Source organism: Homo sapiens, chromosome 4, assembly GCF_000001405.40.
Source record: "Homo sapiens chromosome 4, GRCh38.p14 Primary Assembly".
NCBI lineage: Eukaryota > Metazoa > Chordata > Mammalia > Primates > Hominidae > Homo > Homo sapiens.
Window position 1 is genome coordinate 36,243,959 of NC_000004.12, and position 17,789 is coordinate 36,261,747.

At 39.3% G+C, this 17,789-nt stretch overlaps 1 protein-coding gene and 1 long non-coding RNA gene across 17 annotated transcripts in view, besides 3 other annotated features; one reads left to right on the forward strand and one right to left on the reverse strand.

The window, feature by feature from the left end:
- The window catches only part of ARAP2 (ArfGAP with RhoGAP domain, ankyrin repeat and PH domain 2), a 239,381-nt gene extending 238,555 nt beyond the window's left edge, over window positions 1-826 (reverse strand). For 13 of the 15 annotated variants that reach the window (XR_007096351.1, XR_007096352.1, XR_007096353.1 and 10 more), the window contains exon 1: window positions 798-826. The gene's annotated coding sequence lies outside the window, so the exon portion shown is untranslated. Of the gene's footprint in view, window positions 1-220; window positions 557-797 lie in introns of those variants that run through there. The other 2 variants (NR_146894.2, NM_015230.4) reach the window with 1 other exon arrangement.
- LOC439933 (uncharacterized) overlaps window positions 158-17,789 on the forward strand; it is a 30,100-nt gene continuing 12,468 nt past the window's right edge. Inside the window, exons 1-3 of one of the 2 annotated variants that reach the window (NR_122079.1) lie at window positions 158-253; window positions 1,214-1,352; window positions 4,524-4,648. This is a non-coding gene — a long non-coding RNA (uncharacterized LOC439933). Of the gene's footprint in view, window positions 254-1,213; window positions 1,353-4,523; window positions 4,649-12,559; window positions 12,704-15,878; window positions 16,072-17,789 lie in introns of those variants that run through there. The other variant, NR_122080.1, reaches the window with a different exon arrangement.
- Window positions 352-931: a silencer, noted in NCBI's record as "silent region_15343". NCBI's record gives its function as "represses an Ori minimal core promoter by ATAC-STARR-seq in GM12878 lymphoblastoid cells {active_cell/tissue: GM12878}" and the evidence as "EXISTENCE:reporter gene assay evidence [ECO:0000049][PMID:35858748]".
- Window positions 12,438-12,487: a silencer, noted in NCBI's record as "silent region_15344". NCBI's record gives its function as "represses an Ori minimal core promoter by ATAC-STARR-seq in GM12878 lymphoblastoid cells {active_cell/tissue: GM12878}" and the evidence as "EXISTENCE:reporter gene assay evidence [ECO:0000049][PMID:35858748]".
- Window positions 12,498-12,557: a silencer, noted in NCBI's record as "silent region_15345". NCBI's record gives its function as "represses an Ori minimal core promoter by ATAC-STARR-seq in GM12878 lymphoblastoid cells {active_cell/tissue: GM12878}" and the evidence as "EXISTENCE:reporter gene assay evidence [ECO:0000049][PMID:35858748]".

Below are 17,789 nucleotides of genomic sequence, written 5' to 3' on the forward strand. Positions count from 1 at the left end.
CCCAGAAGTGGAGTTCTTGGATCACTTACCGGCTTCTGGTTTCCTTTCAGACGCCCACACGCGGGAGCGAAATCCAAGGGGCGGACACCAGAGCCGAGCACTTTGCGCTGAGGAAATTTACCCGGTGAAGTGTCGAAAAGCCCCAGCCCCTCCAGACAGGGTCCTCCCACCCCCGCGTGGGCCATCCCGGCCCAGCCTTCCCGAGGCCCCGGGTACTCGCCTTGCGCTCGGGTCGCGGAGTTCGAAAAGCGAGGTGAGGCGGCGCTGGGAAGCTCAGCGCCGGCGTCTCTCCCAGCCTTGGGCGCTCGGTCCTCGCCCCTCTGCCGGAGGCGCCAGGCCTCCTCTTTCCCGGTCCCCGCCGGCTGTCCGCAGTCGCCTCTGCTGCCTGGCGGCGGCCGCGCGGGCGGCGCTGTTAGTGGGGCCGGCGTGTCGCGGCCGCCGCACCTGGAGGCGGGGAGCGCGGGCCGCGGACCCGCGCTCAGCTCCGGAAACGCCGAGCCCGGCGCCCGCGCCTTGCTCAGGTGCTCCCGCGCCTCGCCTCGGCCGCCGCTTCCTCTCCGCCCGCGGGGGCGGGGAGCAGGCGCCCCGCGCGGGGGAAGCCGGAGCTCAACGGCGGGGGCGGCCCAGCCGGCCTCCCTGGTTCCGCAGCATAGTTGGGTGACTGACTCAGACCGCCGCGACTTGGCCGCGCCTGGCACCCTCGCCACCTGGCGCACCTCGGCCCGGAGGCGTCAGACCCCGCTGGGGAAGCTGCGGGGGCGCGCCCTGGAGCCCAGAGCGACAGGGGCATTACCCACCTTCCCGGGACGGAGATGCCCAGGACCTTGTGTTGGCTCCTCCTGGCCAGTGGGTTTGTCTGTGCGCACTCATGGGGGGTTGAATGTCAAATGGGCGGAACCTCGCCACGACTGATTATTAGTATTACTCTTCCAAGTACTTAAAGTGTTAGCTCAGCGTTTCCCAAACTGAAGACTCATCTAGGGCACTATTTTCCCCAGGCTGCTTCTATGTAAATTTGCTCCTTCTTGCACCTGTGGCGGTTAGATCCCAGAGGGGCATTTCCCCTTTGAGTTGGACTCTGACAAAGGAGGCAGCGAAGGAAAATAGGGGATCCCAAAGAACCCTTGTGGACCTCCAAATATCTAAGCGTCCGTAAAATCCAGTTATTTGCAAGTGAGTTCACAGACCAACTACTTTTTTTTTTTTTTTTTAGACAGGGTCTCACTTTGTCACCCAGGCTGGAGTGTAGTGAGGCAATCTCAGCTCATTGCGCCTCCGCCTCTGGGTCCAAGCTATCCTCCCACGTCAGCCTCCCAGGTAGCTGGGATTACAGGCGCGCACCATCAGCCAAGGTAATTTTTTTTGTATTTTTGGTATAGACGGAGTTTCGCCTTGTTGCCCAGGCTGGTCTCAAACTCCTGACCTCAAGTGATCCACCTGCCTCGGCCTCCCAAAGTGCTGGGATTACAGGCGTGAGACACTGCCCCCTACCAGCTTTTTTTTTTTTTTTTATAAACATCTCCCACAGACTACCTGAAATTCTCTTCATTAAAAGGTGAAATGTATTTATCTTTCCCCTGTTCCTGTTGATGGAAGTGAAGCAATTAAGGAAAGCGCAGACCTTATGAAAATGAGATAATTGGTGAAGTGCGGAAAGAGAGAGGCTTCCCACAAGCCTGGGCCCTTAGGATTCTTCAGTCATCACCTTCACCCACACTAACTACCTGCCCAAAGCACCGTCTTTCCCTGGGGAGACTCTGAAGCAGCTCTGTCTTACTAGAGACACCAAATATCCAGTTCCTTTTGAACTTAATACCTCATAGCCGACCTCATTTCCACCAGGAAAGTTTTATTGACATTTTCCAAACCACGGGAACTTTTTCTCTGGATTCCTATAGCATTTATAGGAGGAATTTTATTTATGTGGCTCTTTTCTGGCTTCATTCTCTGTGTGTGTGTGTTTCTTTTGTTCTTTTTCCCTTTTCCCTCTCCAAATTCTCACATACTTCTCTCTTTTTTTTTATCTCTCTCTTTTTTGTTTTTGTTTTTGTTTTCGACTGAGCCCCGCTGTATCGCCCAGGCTGGAGCGTGGAGAGCAGTGGCGCGATCTCAGCTCACTGCAGCCTCCGCCTCCTGGGTTCAAGCCATTCTCCCGCCTCAGCCTCCTGAGTAGCTGGGATTACAGGCATGCACCACCACGCCTAGCTAATTTTCGTGTTTTTAGTAGAGGCAGGGTTTCACCATGTTGGCCAGGGTGGTCTGAAACTCATGGCCTCAAGTGATTCGCCTGCGTTGGCCTCCAGAAGTGCTGAGATTACAGGCGTGAGCCACCATGCCTGGCTCTATTTTTATCATTGTAAGCCATCTTCGGTCCTTCTCTAAACAAGGTGGGTTATAAATAAAAATTATTAGATCAGTTATCTTATGTGTGGGAGGTTCAATCATTGCTTTGTCCTCAAGTTACTTCGCTTGGTAGATTTTATAAACTAATTGAGAAATTGTCTCTCTCCCTCTTCGCAAAAATATCTTAGTTCTTTGATTATTATTCAGTCATTTATTCTTTAAAAATTATTAATCACTGTTTGGCATTTTGAAAATACAGTGTTTAGCAAATACAATGCAATCTCTGGATTTATGTTTTCTGAGGGGAAATAAAGGTAAATGCTACAAGGTACAACAATGACTTCATAATAGCCCTGGGAAATAAAGAAGAACAATGCTCACTTATTGAATGTATACATTAGTTATAAGATGTATTCTGGTTTAATGAATCTTAATATATGGAGGAAAATAAAAATGTCTGAGGAAATACGGCAAAAGCTATCTTTTATTAATTGATCGATAGTCACCAGACTCTAGTCAAATACCTAACATATATGCTGTGTATACACAACGTGTGTGAGTTAAAATTCTTTTTTCAATTTTATAAATATAGGTTTAATTGAAACTTAAAGAGGTTAAGTAGTAAATAGTGAATACATTGAATACATTTAGGCTATATTCTTAGGGTATAAATTTTTTATTTTGCAACCTTCACAGTGAGGTATTCAGAGAGCAAAGTACACAGGGAAATTGGCTTTACAAGGATTAAGGTATGGGCCAGGCACAGTGGCTCAGGCCTGTAATCTCAGCACTTTGGGAGGCAGAGGCGGGCAGATAACCTGAGGTCTGGAGTTCGAGACCAGCCTGGCCAACATGGCGAAACCCCATCTCTACTAAAAATACAAAAAAATTAGCTGGACATGGTGGTGCATGCCTGTAATCCCAGCTACTCAGGAGGCTGAGGCAGGAGAATCGCTTGAACCTGGGAGGTGGAGGTTGCAGTGAGCCGAGATTGCACCATTGCACTCCAGACTCCAGCCTGGACAATGAGACTGAAACTCCATCCCCTCCCCTCCAAAAAAAAAAAAAAAAAAGGTAAGAAAATATGTTTAATCTCAAGACCATTGGAACATATATTCCCAGTAATTTTCATCTAGGCTGAAATGATTCCACAATGACGAGCTCCTGCACATTTTTCCCAGATTTTTAGTAAAAAAGCAGGTAAAGATGTGTCTGTGCCTATCTATGTATTTACTATTGTGATCTCTTGTTGCTTTACTTGTCGAGGAGACAATTTGAGAGAGTGAAAATCTTCCTCCTCTCCTCCTCCTCCTCACTCTCTCCTCTCTCCCTCCTTTTCCTCCTTCTACTTTTTCTTACAACATGATGGCTAATACCCATTGAGCACTGTGTGCCAATTGCTGTTCCAGGCATTTTAATTACAAGAGCTCATTTAAGTATCTCAGCAGTTCCTTGGAGAGATGTTATCTCCTTTATAAGAAAACTTAAGAGACAGAAAAATTGAATGCTTTACACAAATCAAACAATTAGGACTGTACGGGAGGGAGAATTCCAACCCAGTCTTCTCCAGGATCTATTCTGCACTGTATTGTGTCTTGAAGAAAGTAGAAGGCTTGGAAAAGGCTGCATTCAAGATGGAACCAGTATAGGTTGCGGCATTTTTTTAAGCAAATTCATTAACTTACCTGAGCCTCAGTTTCCCCATATGTAAACTGAGAATAATAATACCTATGAGAATTTAATATGATTATATATCTACAGCACCTAAAAAAATAGTAACCCCTCAATGCATTTACTTTTAGTTTATCTTCTCAAATTATTCTTCAAGATTTGATTCAAATCCTACCTCCTTCTCAAGACTTTCAAAATCTCTGATACTCGGAAATATGTACACAACAGGATTTAAAATAATCTTTCCTTTTTTTTTTTCTAAAAGAAAATCCAGTATTGCTTTTGCCAAATATGAAAATTAGGTATATAGATAAAATAAGCAAATGTCTACTTATTTAATTCATCAATTTAGATGAATATCTATAGAAGTAAAATTATATTTTAAACTATACTGTTATTTCCACTTATATTTTATGAAATATTTAATTCACATTTTCAAATTTTAACATTCAACGACTTCATCACTATGGGCTGATTTTTTTCTTTTTTCCTTTTTTTTTTTTTTTGAGACATAGTCTCATCACTCTGTCACCCAGGCTGGAATGTAGTAGTGCAATCTCGGCTCTCTGCAACCTTCACCTCCTGGATTCAAGTGATTCTCCTGCCTCAGCCTCCTGAGTAGCTGGGATTACAGGTATGCACTGCCATGCCTGGCTAATTTTGTATTTTTAGTAGAGACGGGGTTTCTCCATGTTGACCAAGCTGGTCTCAAACCCCTGGCCTCAAGTGATTCGCCCACCTGGACCTCCCAAAGTGCTGGATTACAGGCATGAGCCACCGAACCTGGCCACTACAGGCATATTTCTGATATATATTTTTTGTTGCTTTTCTGTATACCATCTCAGCCCTATCCTTCAGCCCTGCTCCCAGGGATCCACTCCCCAGTAAAGAGTTCACATATAGGTTTTTGCCTCAGGCTGTATTTTCTGGGGGAGCTTTGGCTAAGACGTTTTTCATCACATCCTCTTATATTTATTTGTTCAGTAGCTTATTCTCTGCTTTAGATACAAGCTTTCTTTTTGGCCTGGAAAAAGGTAAATTCTTTTTTAAAGTTTTAATTGACAAAAATGTATATATTTATAATGGACAACATGTTTTGAATATGTTTACATTGTAGAATGGCTAAAACTAGATAGTTAACATATGCTCTACCTTGCATTCTTTTTTTTTTTTTTGTGGTAAGAACACTTAAAATCTACTTTCTCAGGGATTTTTAAGAATACAGTACATTGTTATTAACTTTAATCGCCATATTGTGTGCTAGATCTCTTGAACTTATTTCTTCTATCTAACCAAAATTTTGTATCCTTTCGCCAGTATCACCCCAACTCCCCCCTTTCCCAGCCCGCTAAGTACCATTCCACTCTCCTATAAATTCAGCTTTTTTAGATTACATGTGTAAGTGAGATAACACAATATTTGTCTTTCTCTGCCTTGTTTATTTCACTTAACATAATTCCCACTAGGTTCATTTACATTGTCACAAATGATATGATTTTCCTCTTTTTTAAGGCTGAATAGTATTCTGTTGTGTATACATGCCACATGTTTTTTAATCCATTGATTCACTGATAGTCACAAGTTGATTCCATATCTTAGATATTGTGACCCGTGCTGCAGTAAACATGGGAGTGCAGATACCTCTTCAACCTCAGGAGTTTAGTAGTTTGCCATTCAGATTAATGTACAATAATGGGAGGAAATATAGAAATAATAAATAAATTATGACACATATATTTTTGTACCAGGCATTGTGACACATTATTAGCTTTGTAAATTCTCTCAGCAGGGCTAGGAGGTAAGTAATATCAGTATCTCCCTTTTAGCCAATGATGAAACTGAAAGGTTATCCAAGAACTCACGAGTAGTAAATAAGGTAATCAGGCATTGAGATAATGTGAATTCAAAGTACATGCATTAAGTATTATGCTGTGATGCCTCAGAGAAAGCTTTTTAACATTTTGATAATAAGGACCTTTTGTTCTGAGACACTATTTATTTGGGGGAAATGATGTACCTTATATTTAGGAATTTATAATACTCTCTCCTGATTCTCCTACTGCCCTTTTTTTAAAAAATCTCTATTGAGTACTCTTGTCAGTCAGTCTTGCATTATGCATACTTGGAATACTTTATTTATTTATTTATTTATTTTTATTATTTTATTTTATTTTATTTTATTTTATTTTTTGAGACAGAGTTTCGCTCTTGTCGTCCAGGCTAGAGTATAATGGTGTGATCTCAGCTCACTGCAACCTCTGCCCCCCGGGTTCAAGTGATTCTCCTGCCTCAGCCTCCCCAGTAGTTGGGATTACAGGTGCCTGCCACCACGCCCAGCCAATTTTTGTATTTTTAGTAGAGATAGGGTTTCACCATGTAAGCCAGGCTGGTCTCAAACTCCTGACCTCAAGTGATTCTCCTGCCTCGACCTCCCAAAGTGTTAGGATTACAGGCGTGAGCCACTGTGCCCAGCCTGGAATATTTTTATTACTATTTGTATTCCCTGAAGTACCCAACCTAGAGCTTTAGGTAAATGTTTGTTTTTATCAAGTTTGAAATGTTTATATTCATTATGTTGACTGCTTTCAGTTCCTTGTTACAAGCTATGAGTTACTTTGAAAGTTTTATTCATTCTTTCTTGAGGCAAGAGAGCAGTTCAGTGAGATGGCACTGCAGGTTACCCTAGACAAAGGAGCAGTGAAAACTATTCAGTCAATTCAATCATTGACCAAAAATTGATGGTATTGTGGAAATAATTTATTTTTAAATATAAGGTTTTAAAAAATCATTTTAAAGTTTAAAGAAAAGTAAAAAGTTTTCCTATAAAATTAATATTTCAGAAACTCATTTAAGCACTATAGATGAGAGTGTTTCATTAATACTAATATGCATATTTTTACACTTCTTCTGAAAGAGGAATTCATCTTAAAATGAATTACTGTTGGCCAGGTGGCAGTCACAACATAATTGTCACTGCCTACACGCTCCTGAACTTGATCAAAAATGTTTTATATTGTCATCACTTCATTTGAGTTACTTGCATCAACAGTGCTGCATATGTTGAGTTCGTGACTCAAAACATCTTCAAAAAATTGCACTGGGTTTCCGCAGAAAGATAAGGAAACAGAGCAGTGTGATTTTGTGTGATATTTGATAAAAATCTATGTCTAAAAAATCTCAAAGAACGTTTTTGTAGATATACAGTGTATAAAAATTCTAAGTAATTATTTATTTTAATATTAAATTTTAAATTTGCATTTTAAATTCGTTGACATCCAGTAGTTTCTGCCACTGCTAACATAAAAATCTAGTTTTATTTTTCTATGGAAAAAATGTTTCCTAAGAAAAATCATTGCATGGGAGAAAATATTTGCAAATTATGCATCTGACAAAGGTCTCATGTCCAGAATCTGTAAAGAACTTAAGCAATTCAAGAAGCAAAAAACAAATAACACCATTAAAAAGTGGGCAAAGGACATGAGTAGACATTTCTCAAAACGAGACATACAAGTGGCCAACAAAAATATGAAAAAAAAAGCTCAACATCACTAATCATCAAAAATGAAATACAAATGAAAACCAGAAATGTAAATGAAAACCGTAAGATACCACCTCACACCAGTCAGAGTGGCTATTATTATTAAAATGTCAAAAAATAAATGATGTTGGTGAGGCTGCAGAGAAAAGGGAATGGTTATACACTGTTGGTGGGAGTGTAAATTTGTTCAGCCACTGTGAAGAGGAGTTTGGAAATTTCTCAAAGAGCTAAGTTGAACTACCATTCAAACCACCAATCCCTTTAATGGGTATATACCCAAAGGAAAATAAATCATTCTACCAAAAAGATGCACGTGCTCATATACTCATCTCATTACTATTCACAATAGCACAGACGTGGAGCAAACTTAGATTCCCATCAAGGGTGGATGGATAAAGAAAATGTGGTACATATACAACATAGAATACTACTTAGCAATAAAAAAGAACAAAATGATGTCTTTTGCAGCAACATGGATACAGATAGGGGCTGTTACCCTAAATGAATTAACTCAGAAACAGAAAACCAAATATTGCATGTTTTCACAAGTGGAAGCTAAGCATTGGGTACCTTTGGACATAAAGATGACAGCAGTAGTCACTGGAGACTTCTAGATGAGGAGAAAGAGTAGGGGGGTAAGGGCTACAAAACGACCTATTGGGTACTATGCTAACCACTTGGTGATAGAATCATTCACACCCCAAGCCTCAGAGTCAAGTAACAAACCTGCGTATATACCACTTGAGTGTGAAAGAAAAGTTGAATTGTAAAGAAAAAGAAAACAAAAATTATTCCTAAGAAAAATGAAAGAAAACCTAATTTTTGCCCAATGGATTTATAGACAGAATACATTGACTGTATATAAATTCATTGCTTCCACTTTAATGTGTCAGTTCTTCTCATGTATGTCTGTAGTTGAGTTTACTAAACACATGAAAAAATGGATTTATTTGTGCTGTGGCTTGAAAATACTGTGTAGTTCCATTTTTTCCTTTTTATGAAAAATGCTATACTTAAAATAGATAATTAGCTTTAAAAGCTCTTCTGACATCAAGAAAAAAAAATGGAAGAGGAATTTGGAGAAGCAAAAGACAGGTAGAAATGCAAAAGCAACAGCTAGAAATAGATTTCTTATAAAGCACTGAAATTCAGCTGTTAAAACTTATTTGAAAAGCACAGAATAATATCAATGTAAAAGGTAAGTGAAATACACTAAAAGTATTAATAAAACCTCAGACCACAAGACAACTGTTCTAAAAGCAGAGGTCACAAACTAACTGCCTGTGAGTAGCATGAAGGCAAAAAGTTCACAGAATGATTCAGACCACAGAAATTTTTTAGTTTTCAAAATGTATATTTTCATTTTAAAATAGGAATTTTAGCTTCTCTTGAAAAAAAAATTAGATGGCCTGCTAGTACTACATTCACACTTGCCAAAGCAAGTCTAAATGGATTGGAGGCTGGGTGGGGTGGCTCATGCCTGTAATCTCAGCACTTTGGGAGGCTGAGGCTGGTGGATCACCTGAGGTCAGGAGTTCGAGAACAGCCTGACCAACATGGTGAAAACCCATCTCTACTAAAAATACAGATTAGCTGGGTATGATGGTGCATGCCTGTAATCCCAGCTACTTGGGAGGCTGAGGCAGGAGAATCGCTTGAAGCCAGGTGGCAGTCCAAGCCTTACAGTGAGCCAAGATTGTGCCATTGCACTCCAGCCTGGGCAATAGAGTGAGACACCATCTCAAAAAAAAAAAATGGATTGGAAAACTGGCTGCCCTTTTTGGGCAGGACATGCACTGTTTAGTTTGCTATAGTCCCTCCTCACCCTGTTTCTCCTTGGGGTTATGACTCCAGTGCTGTGGAGGTTGCAACTAGGAGATGTTACCTGAAATTATAATCCATTAAGGACAAACAGTATGAGCAACCTTTGAGGCAAGCTTATGAATTTCTGAAATGGAAGTCTTACAAATATACAGTCCAGATCAAAATGTAATACCCAACACATTAAGACTATTTTATCGGCACAAGCAGAAGCAGTACAATCATAATAGGTACCATCTACTGAGTTCTTAAGTCAAATTACATGTCAAACGCCTTACAGCTATTATTCAACTAATTTTTATAGATATTTTGTGATGAACCACAAAGATATGGTGGTAAGCAAAGTAGATCTACTTCACTCTCATTTTAGAGCTTACAGAATGATTGCAGAGCAAATATTACCCAAATAATCACACAAATGTGTATATATGTATATGTGTGTGTATGGCATATACATGTATTATGAATACACACAAATATTACATATCACATGCTGTATGTATGGTATACATATATAAATCTATATTACATAGACTCCATAGCATACCTAGGCATGCATACATACATATTTCCATGTGTATACATTTCCATGTATAATTATGTTTAAATCATATGAATATGGTTATATTTGTCTCTAACCTCAAAAACAGTCAGTGCATATGGTTCAAGTTCACAAATTTTAGTTGAGATGGAGGAAATGCTTTTTCAGTCTTTAGTTCAGATGGAGGGAGTTTCTAACCCTCCTAACTTTTTTTGCCTTCTCTGCATTCCACTCCACACCTTCAGCCTGTGATAGGTCAGTAATTTATTTTTTGGTGGTTTGGAAGGAGGCACTGGCCCGATGATCCCTTCTCCTTCATCTCCTCTTTCTTTTTGTGTGGGCTGCCCTCAGAAAGCCAGAATTCTGTGTTGCTCTTCCAAGCTATAAGACCTATGGGAAGTTTGGATCTAACCATAGCTTCCAGAGCCTGACATGCCTAAAATTAATAAAAGAAGTATTGAATTACTCTTCTGCTTGATTCTTGTCTGTCTGTCCATTCATTTCAAACCAGGTACCACAAACATTTGTGGTAAATATTAAAAACAACATTATATGCTACAGAAAAATAAGGAGAAGGGATGATTTTTGATTGGTAAATATGAAAAGTCCTTTTAAAGCAAGTGACATTTAAACTGAGATGTGAAGGCTGGGTGGGAGGGAGCTATGTGTGCTGTGAGGAGGAGGGCGGAGATGTGTTCTAGGCAAAAAAGAGAATTTGTGAAACCTTGGAGGCAGCAAAAAGCAGGAACTTCGGAGGAACTGAAAAAGAAAAAAAGCTTTCAGCTAGATAGTGAATAGAGTAGACAAGATGAAGTTGGATGTACAGGTAGCTACATCATGTAGGGCCTTAGAGGCCATGTTCAGGGGTGGAGATTTTATCAAAAGGACAATAGAAAGTCATTGAGTGGATTTAAGAGGGGACAATGTAATTCACTTTATTTCCTTACCTTATAAAATCTTCAAAATAACCTTTAATGAAAGATACTGTTATTATGCCCATATTTCAGCTAAACACATGGAGATGCAGGGAGATTAAATTTCAAATGCATTACTAGATAGCTCATATATGATTTCAGGGCCATCTTTTCACCCACTCTACCATAGTGGCATACCATGTGTGCAAAGAAGTCCACAGTCGTCTAATCTATAGAATTGTCATGGCATATGAGCATTTATAGACCATAACATAACAGATAATACATAGGAATAATTAATCTTTTTGAGGTCTTCATAAAATTATTTTGTATTTATAATTCAATACTTCTGGGTTTAGAGAAATAAAAAGGACATCCAGTGAATTCATCCTTCCATTTTCTACAGTCGAATTCTAAGCAATTAGGGAAGATTTAATTTGTTTTAATGTGAGATGCCCCTTTTGTTTTATATAAACAAATTCAATAATTATCCCCAAACCAAGTAACTAAAAATAGATTGGAGGAAGGGGAACAGAGAATAAGAATATGTCAGCACTTCATGAAAATTTTTTGGTAGATTGGACAGTAAAGATGCTAACCTAATTACTTTCCCTGTAGCTAGTTCCAGAAATTGACACGATTTAAAAAGACATTAATCATTGACTTAATGTACAGTGTGTACATCAGTTGCTAGTAACTTGTATGCCAGTGAAATCTGCTGTTCTTACTTTAGAAAACAAAAATCCATATATCCTGTTTTTCTATCTGAAAAGGTAGCGTTCTCAATTTCTCTAAAACACATTTTTTTTAGAAAAGGTATCTATCTGCCATTTGATCATTTTTCTATGTGTGAAATATGACATACCATCTCGGTTATGCTGAACAGCAGGTGCGCAGAGCTTCAAAGGCCTAACTCACAGGTTTGCATTTCCTTCACTCCACATGGCTTCTGTGGCATCCTGTGTCATGTTTTGTGTTCTTTCCTGTGGAAACTCTCATACCCACATTACTTCAGTCTAGTTTAGCAATCAGAAAACATGGTGTCTGCCCAGTAGATTTTGCAAACATTTTAAGGAAACTGTGGTAGTCATGCTTGATTGAACTGTTCTTTCTTTCACTTATAAAGGAACTACTGCTCATGCCTTCATTCAGCCATGAATGCTTGGCTTTTTAAAAACAGTTTCTAGGACACTAAAAAAAGGAGATTTTTGTTTTTCATTCATCTCCAAAAAAAAAAAAAAAAACAAAACGAAACAGCATAGGAAATACTCCTTTTATTCTCTGGGTGAAGACAGTTTTTACAAAGCAATTTTTTTAATAAAAGAAAGCAACTTAATTTATTAGATTATCTTTATAATCTACAGAGTGAACTTCTAAATAAAAAGCAAAACATTTGAATAATTATTAGATGGGTAAATGTTTTATTGAGACAGCAGAATTGAACAGGGAACAATGAAATATAAAGAACTGAAGTTTTTCTTTTATTGTCCCTTCCAAACTGTGCTTCTGAACTTACACTTCTCCTGCCCCCAAATGAAATATAGGGTGGGTCTCCTAGGTCTTCTCATCTGTGTCAATGACAAGAAAATTTATATTATAAAAGTGTCTGGTCTAATCTAGTATGCAAGACTATCTCTAGTATAGTTCATTCATTATAAAGCCTACTGTACTCAGTCACCACCCCTCTCTTACAAGCCTACTTTAAATTGGAAAGCCTGTCTCGCTTGTTTCGGTGTGGTGAGTGAAATGGAGAAGGCTAAACTTTTTCTTCCCACATGCTCACTTCCTTGCTTGTTCGCTAGCTGCTGCATCTGGCCCCTCAAGGGTAAAGTCAAGGGGAAAAGGAGATTGAGAGGAAGGACAGTCTGTGAATTGGTGAGTGCAATTGTAATTTTCTGGCGCTTACTTTCTCTTTTCTACTCCATCCCCCACCCACCACCGGCCAACCACTGCTAGAGTCCGGAGTCCTCCAGCTGCTCCTGAGATTCTGGGAATACTTCCTCTCTAGCAGCAGCTTTTAACATCCCTCTTGGGTCCCTTTTTGGTGCATTAAGTTTCTTTAATAAATTAAGTGTCCCCAGAGGCCTACTGCAATCTTCTCTCATAGTCCCTACAGCCTCTAGTAAAGTTCAAGATACACTGCTGGCATTTGCCTCTGATGTGTGAATTGATGTCCTACCTTCTTCAGTGCTGAACCTCAAACTTGCTTTGCACACTATATCTGGCATAAACTAAGAATAAGAGATAAGAGCCTTTGCCCAAGTATATCATTCAGGAGACTGGAGTTAGAAAAAAACAAGCCACTACATCAACAAGGCTGGAGTTTTTTATTATTAAAGGAGTGTGTGCATACACGTATGTGTGGGTAGTCATATTTATTAAATACTACCCATATGCAAGCCCAGTACATAAATAACTTTATTATTAATAATAAAAACTAATACTAATTTATAACTAATACTAGGGTTATATTTTTTATTATACACACACACACACACACACTCACACACATATATATATATTTTTTTTCTTTTTTCTTTTTTTTTTTTGAGACGGAGTCTCGCTCTGTAGCCAGGCTGGAGTGCAGTGGTGTGATCTCGGCTCACTGCAACCACCTCCCAAGTTCAAGTGATTCTTCTGCCTCAGCCTCCCGCGTAGCTGGGACTACAGGCGCACGCCACCATGTCCAGCTAATTTTTTTTGTAATTTTAGTAGACACGGGGTTTCACCATATTGGCCAAGCTGGTCTTGATCTCTTGACCTTGTGATCCACCCGCCTCAGCCTCTCAAAGTGCTGGGATTACAGGCATGAGCCACTGCCCCCGGCCAGTTTATATTTTTTAAATACTATCCATATTCAAGCCCAGTACATAATCTCTTTTTTATTATGAATAATAACTAATACTAATACTAATTAATAACTAATACTAGGGTTATATTTATTAAATACTACCCATATGCAAGCCCAGTACATAAACTATCTTTTTCAATCCTCACAGCAACTCCATGAATTAGATTCTATTACTAGCCTCATTTTATAAATGAGGGTATTTAGGAGGTTTAAGAGTTAACTTGCTTAAGGTCACCTACTTTGTAAACAGTAGAGCTGGAACTCAAGTTTAGTATCACTGTCAGATGCATAGCTTAGCTCACTGTAATTACCATATCAGACCAACTCCCTATGGGACTGGAGTTTATTAGTTTAAATAGTGACTGGAGCTAGACTATTAAAATGGCTTCTTGCATCCATAGCCAAAAGTTAGCCCAGATAACAGACTTCAACAGCAGCTTTCATCTATGCTATTGATAGAAATCTTTCACTGAGTGTGGTGTGTCCTGGGTATAGGCCTTCACACGATGATAATTTTCTTACTAAACAATGTGAAACAATAACAAGAGCCACGTCTTCAAAGCATTCCATCCACTCCCTCACATATCTTCTCATGTATCAATAATATAGCCAATAATTACTGATTGGAATTTCTTTTGACAAATTTGTAATTTAGTTATGATTTCTCAGAATCTAGCTATGCATTCTGAATTCTAATTTTCAATTAGGTTCCTTGTGGCATCATTGAGCATTGAAAATAATTTTATGACTTGTAACAGCTCATGAGAAAATAAATGGGTTCAGTCAATAACATTACCAGGCAGGTCATCCACAAGCCACAATAATATCATGGAGAATTCAAAGCAAATGGATTTGCTTACTAGGCAAGATAGCATGTCAAAGCCTTGAACAAATTAAGGTTCTTGGCTATTAGGCCTACAGGGACCTCAGTTGCAAGGTTCAGTGAGGGCAAAAGCCAGAACTGGGACTGAGGGCAGAACCTTGCAATAGTGATTATTTTAATGCATAGTGTCTAAGGGTGTTTAAGGAGCAAGAAATAGATCCAAGAAAACATCTGACTAATGGTTAATCTGTTGGGACAGTTATGTCAGCAGAAACCCATGAGGCTTTCCAATGACCTTCCTTAAGCCAATCAAACAATAAGCATTTCCAAACTACGGTTTTATATTAGGTATATGTAGTGCTTTATAAAAACAAGAGCTACTTGATCATGTAATCCTAGAAAATCCTTCAATCAATACTCTTTTCTGGAGATCTGTGGCTTACCTTCACCATGTTAAAGTCTTCAAGGGATTCCTGCTGGAAAGAAAGCTGTTTAATCTTGTTTAGTTTAGCATTTCCCAAATGTATATGATCAGGAAACCATCTTTTTGTACAATGTGTTTAGTTTACTGAACCACATTTTGAAAAAAAAATGGTCCAATATAATTAGGGAATCTCATAGCCAATAGGTAGCAGTCACAGAAGATTACTGAATATTACTTCTTGCAGCAAAGCTATTGAAAACTTTCTGGTGGGCATGAATTAAGACTAAATGATCATTAAAATGTTACCAGCAGGCAGATATTCTAGATGTCTGTTCAAAGTCCATAGACTTCAAGCTAGAAGTAGGGCTAACAAGCTCATTTGAGAATTATAGAGCCCCTACAATATGGGCCTCTGTAGGTCAATTCTATGAAGAGTTGGATTGACCAACTCTTCATAGAAATGAAATGAGAAAGTCCCTAAGGATAAATCTAAAACATTTACTTAAAAATTAATCGTGAATGCAATCTTCTCACAGCCAATTAGTAGTTAAGATCATAAAGCTCTATCCTATGGAAAAATTTAACCTAGAAAATTTGTTAATGGATGGTAACAAATGTCAATAAAAGTCCTAAAAGATATCACTGTAAGTATCCTTAGGACACGCAGTCTTGAAAAACATAACTTCCAAAGAAACTTTTGAGATAGTTATTTCCCAAAAATACATCTGTATAACTGAACGGGTTGAAATACTGCTTTAATAATACTACCTCCTATTTGGGAAGGCTTATTTTGTGTCAAGTGTAGAGGCGTGCACTTAAGTGGATTAACTATCTTAACCCTCATAGCAACCCCACATTTTCTTCATTTTTTAAAAAATATTTTGTTTATTATGCCTAAAACTCAGCTTTTTCTTAATTCTTTTTTTTCAATTTTTTTATTTTTTTGAGACAGGGTCTCACCGTGTTTCCCAGGCTGAAGTACAGTGTTGTGATATCAGTTCATTGCAACTTCTGTCTTCTGAGCTCAAGCAATCCTCTTGCCTCAGCCTCTCAAGTAGCTGGGACTGACTACAGGCATGAACCACCACACCTGGCTAATTTTTTTTGTATTTTTGTCGAAAAGACAGTTTCGCCATGTTGTACAGGTTAGTCTCAAACTCCTGAGCTCAAGCTATCCACCCACCTAGGCCTTCCAAAGTGTTGGGATTACAGGTGTGAGCTACTGTGCCCAGCTGCAACCCATATTTTATAGAAGGGATAGGAACCTGAGGCTAAGAGAATTTAAGTAATTTGCTCAAAATCAAAAGGGGAGTAAGTAGTTAGGCCAAAATTAACCATTCTATTTAATAGTCCAGTATAGGATATTTATGTATATGAGTTTTATAAGTTAACAAAATTGTTTGGATGCAGCAACAAAGGACAATACAACAGTTACCTAAATAAGAAGTTTATTCTCTCTTAGTTCATGTAAGTAGTCTAGGACTAGATCCAGCTCTTTCTATCTCTTAGAGACTGACTGTATTCCTCACAATTCAAAGTTGGAGTCCTTATACCCAATGTTATGATATTAGATATAGGAAAGTGATTAGGTCATGAGAATAGAGCCCTCATGAATGAGATTAGAGCCCTTATAAAAGAGACCCCAGAGAACTATTGGGCCCTCTTTCTTCCATGTGAGGATACAAGGTGAAATCAGCAGTCTGCAGGCAGGAAGAGAGCCCTCACCGATACCCAACCATGCTGGCATCCCAATTCTAGACTTCCAGCCTCCAGAACTGTGAGACATAAATTTCTGTCATTTAAGCCACCCAGTCTATAGTACTTTGTTTTAGCAGCCTGACAACATAGCCAACCAGCCAGCCTCTCCGCCAGCCTAACATCCATGTTCTCAGCCAGCCTCCTAGCCAGCCTCTGGATCTGCCAGCCATCCAGACGGACTTTCAGCCAGTGAGCCATCCTCTCAGCCTGCCTCCAAGTCAGCCTCTCGGCCTATCTGCCAGAAAGCCTCTAAGCCAGCCAACTTGGTGGCCACCACCAAGCCAGCCTCTTTGCCAGCCTCACATCTAGTCCCTTGGCCAACCTCCCAGACATCTTCTTAGCCAGCTAGCCATCCTGCTTCTCCGCCTGCCTCCCAGCCAAACTTTTGGTCTGCTGGCAATCCAGTCTCTCAGCCAGCCGTGCAGGCTCTCAACCTGCCTTCCTGCCAGCTTCTTGCCTGCTGGACAGACTCTAAACCAGCCAATTTGCCAGCCAGCCATCAAGCCTATCAACATGCAGCATATATCCTATGGCCAAATATGTCTACTCTAGTTCTTACCATTACATCCCCTTCTCAGTTGGAAGGAAAGAAGAAAGGACACAGTATACACTTCTATAGACCAGAACTAGAAGTTGTTCATTACATTTACCCATATTCTATAGACTAGACCTTAATCAAATGGCTACGTCCAACTTCAAAGGAGGCAGAAAAATGAAATCCTTATTCTGGGCATTCATGTACTCTGTTAAATTCCAGGGTTCTGTTACTAAGAGAATAAAAGGAGGATATCTATTTGGGGATTTTATATATATATATTATATATATTATATATATATAATATATATATAATATATACATATTATATATATATATACACATACATATACATATGCAGAGTCCCAACTGGCAGTTTTTATCATAGAATCATCCACTTCTAGGCTAAACATGAATGTTCTATCAAATATTTTGATTTAGCTTTGAAGTAGTTAATACTAGGCAATCCTTACTGCTAGAAATTGAATAGCAAGGCTTTTTGCCTGGGATGGCACAAAGCTTGGGTCAATAGAAAATTATTTGTTAACAAGAATAGGAGAGTGTTGATTT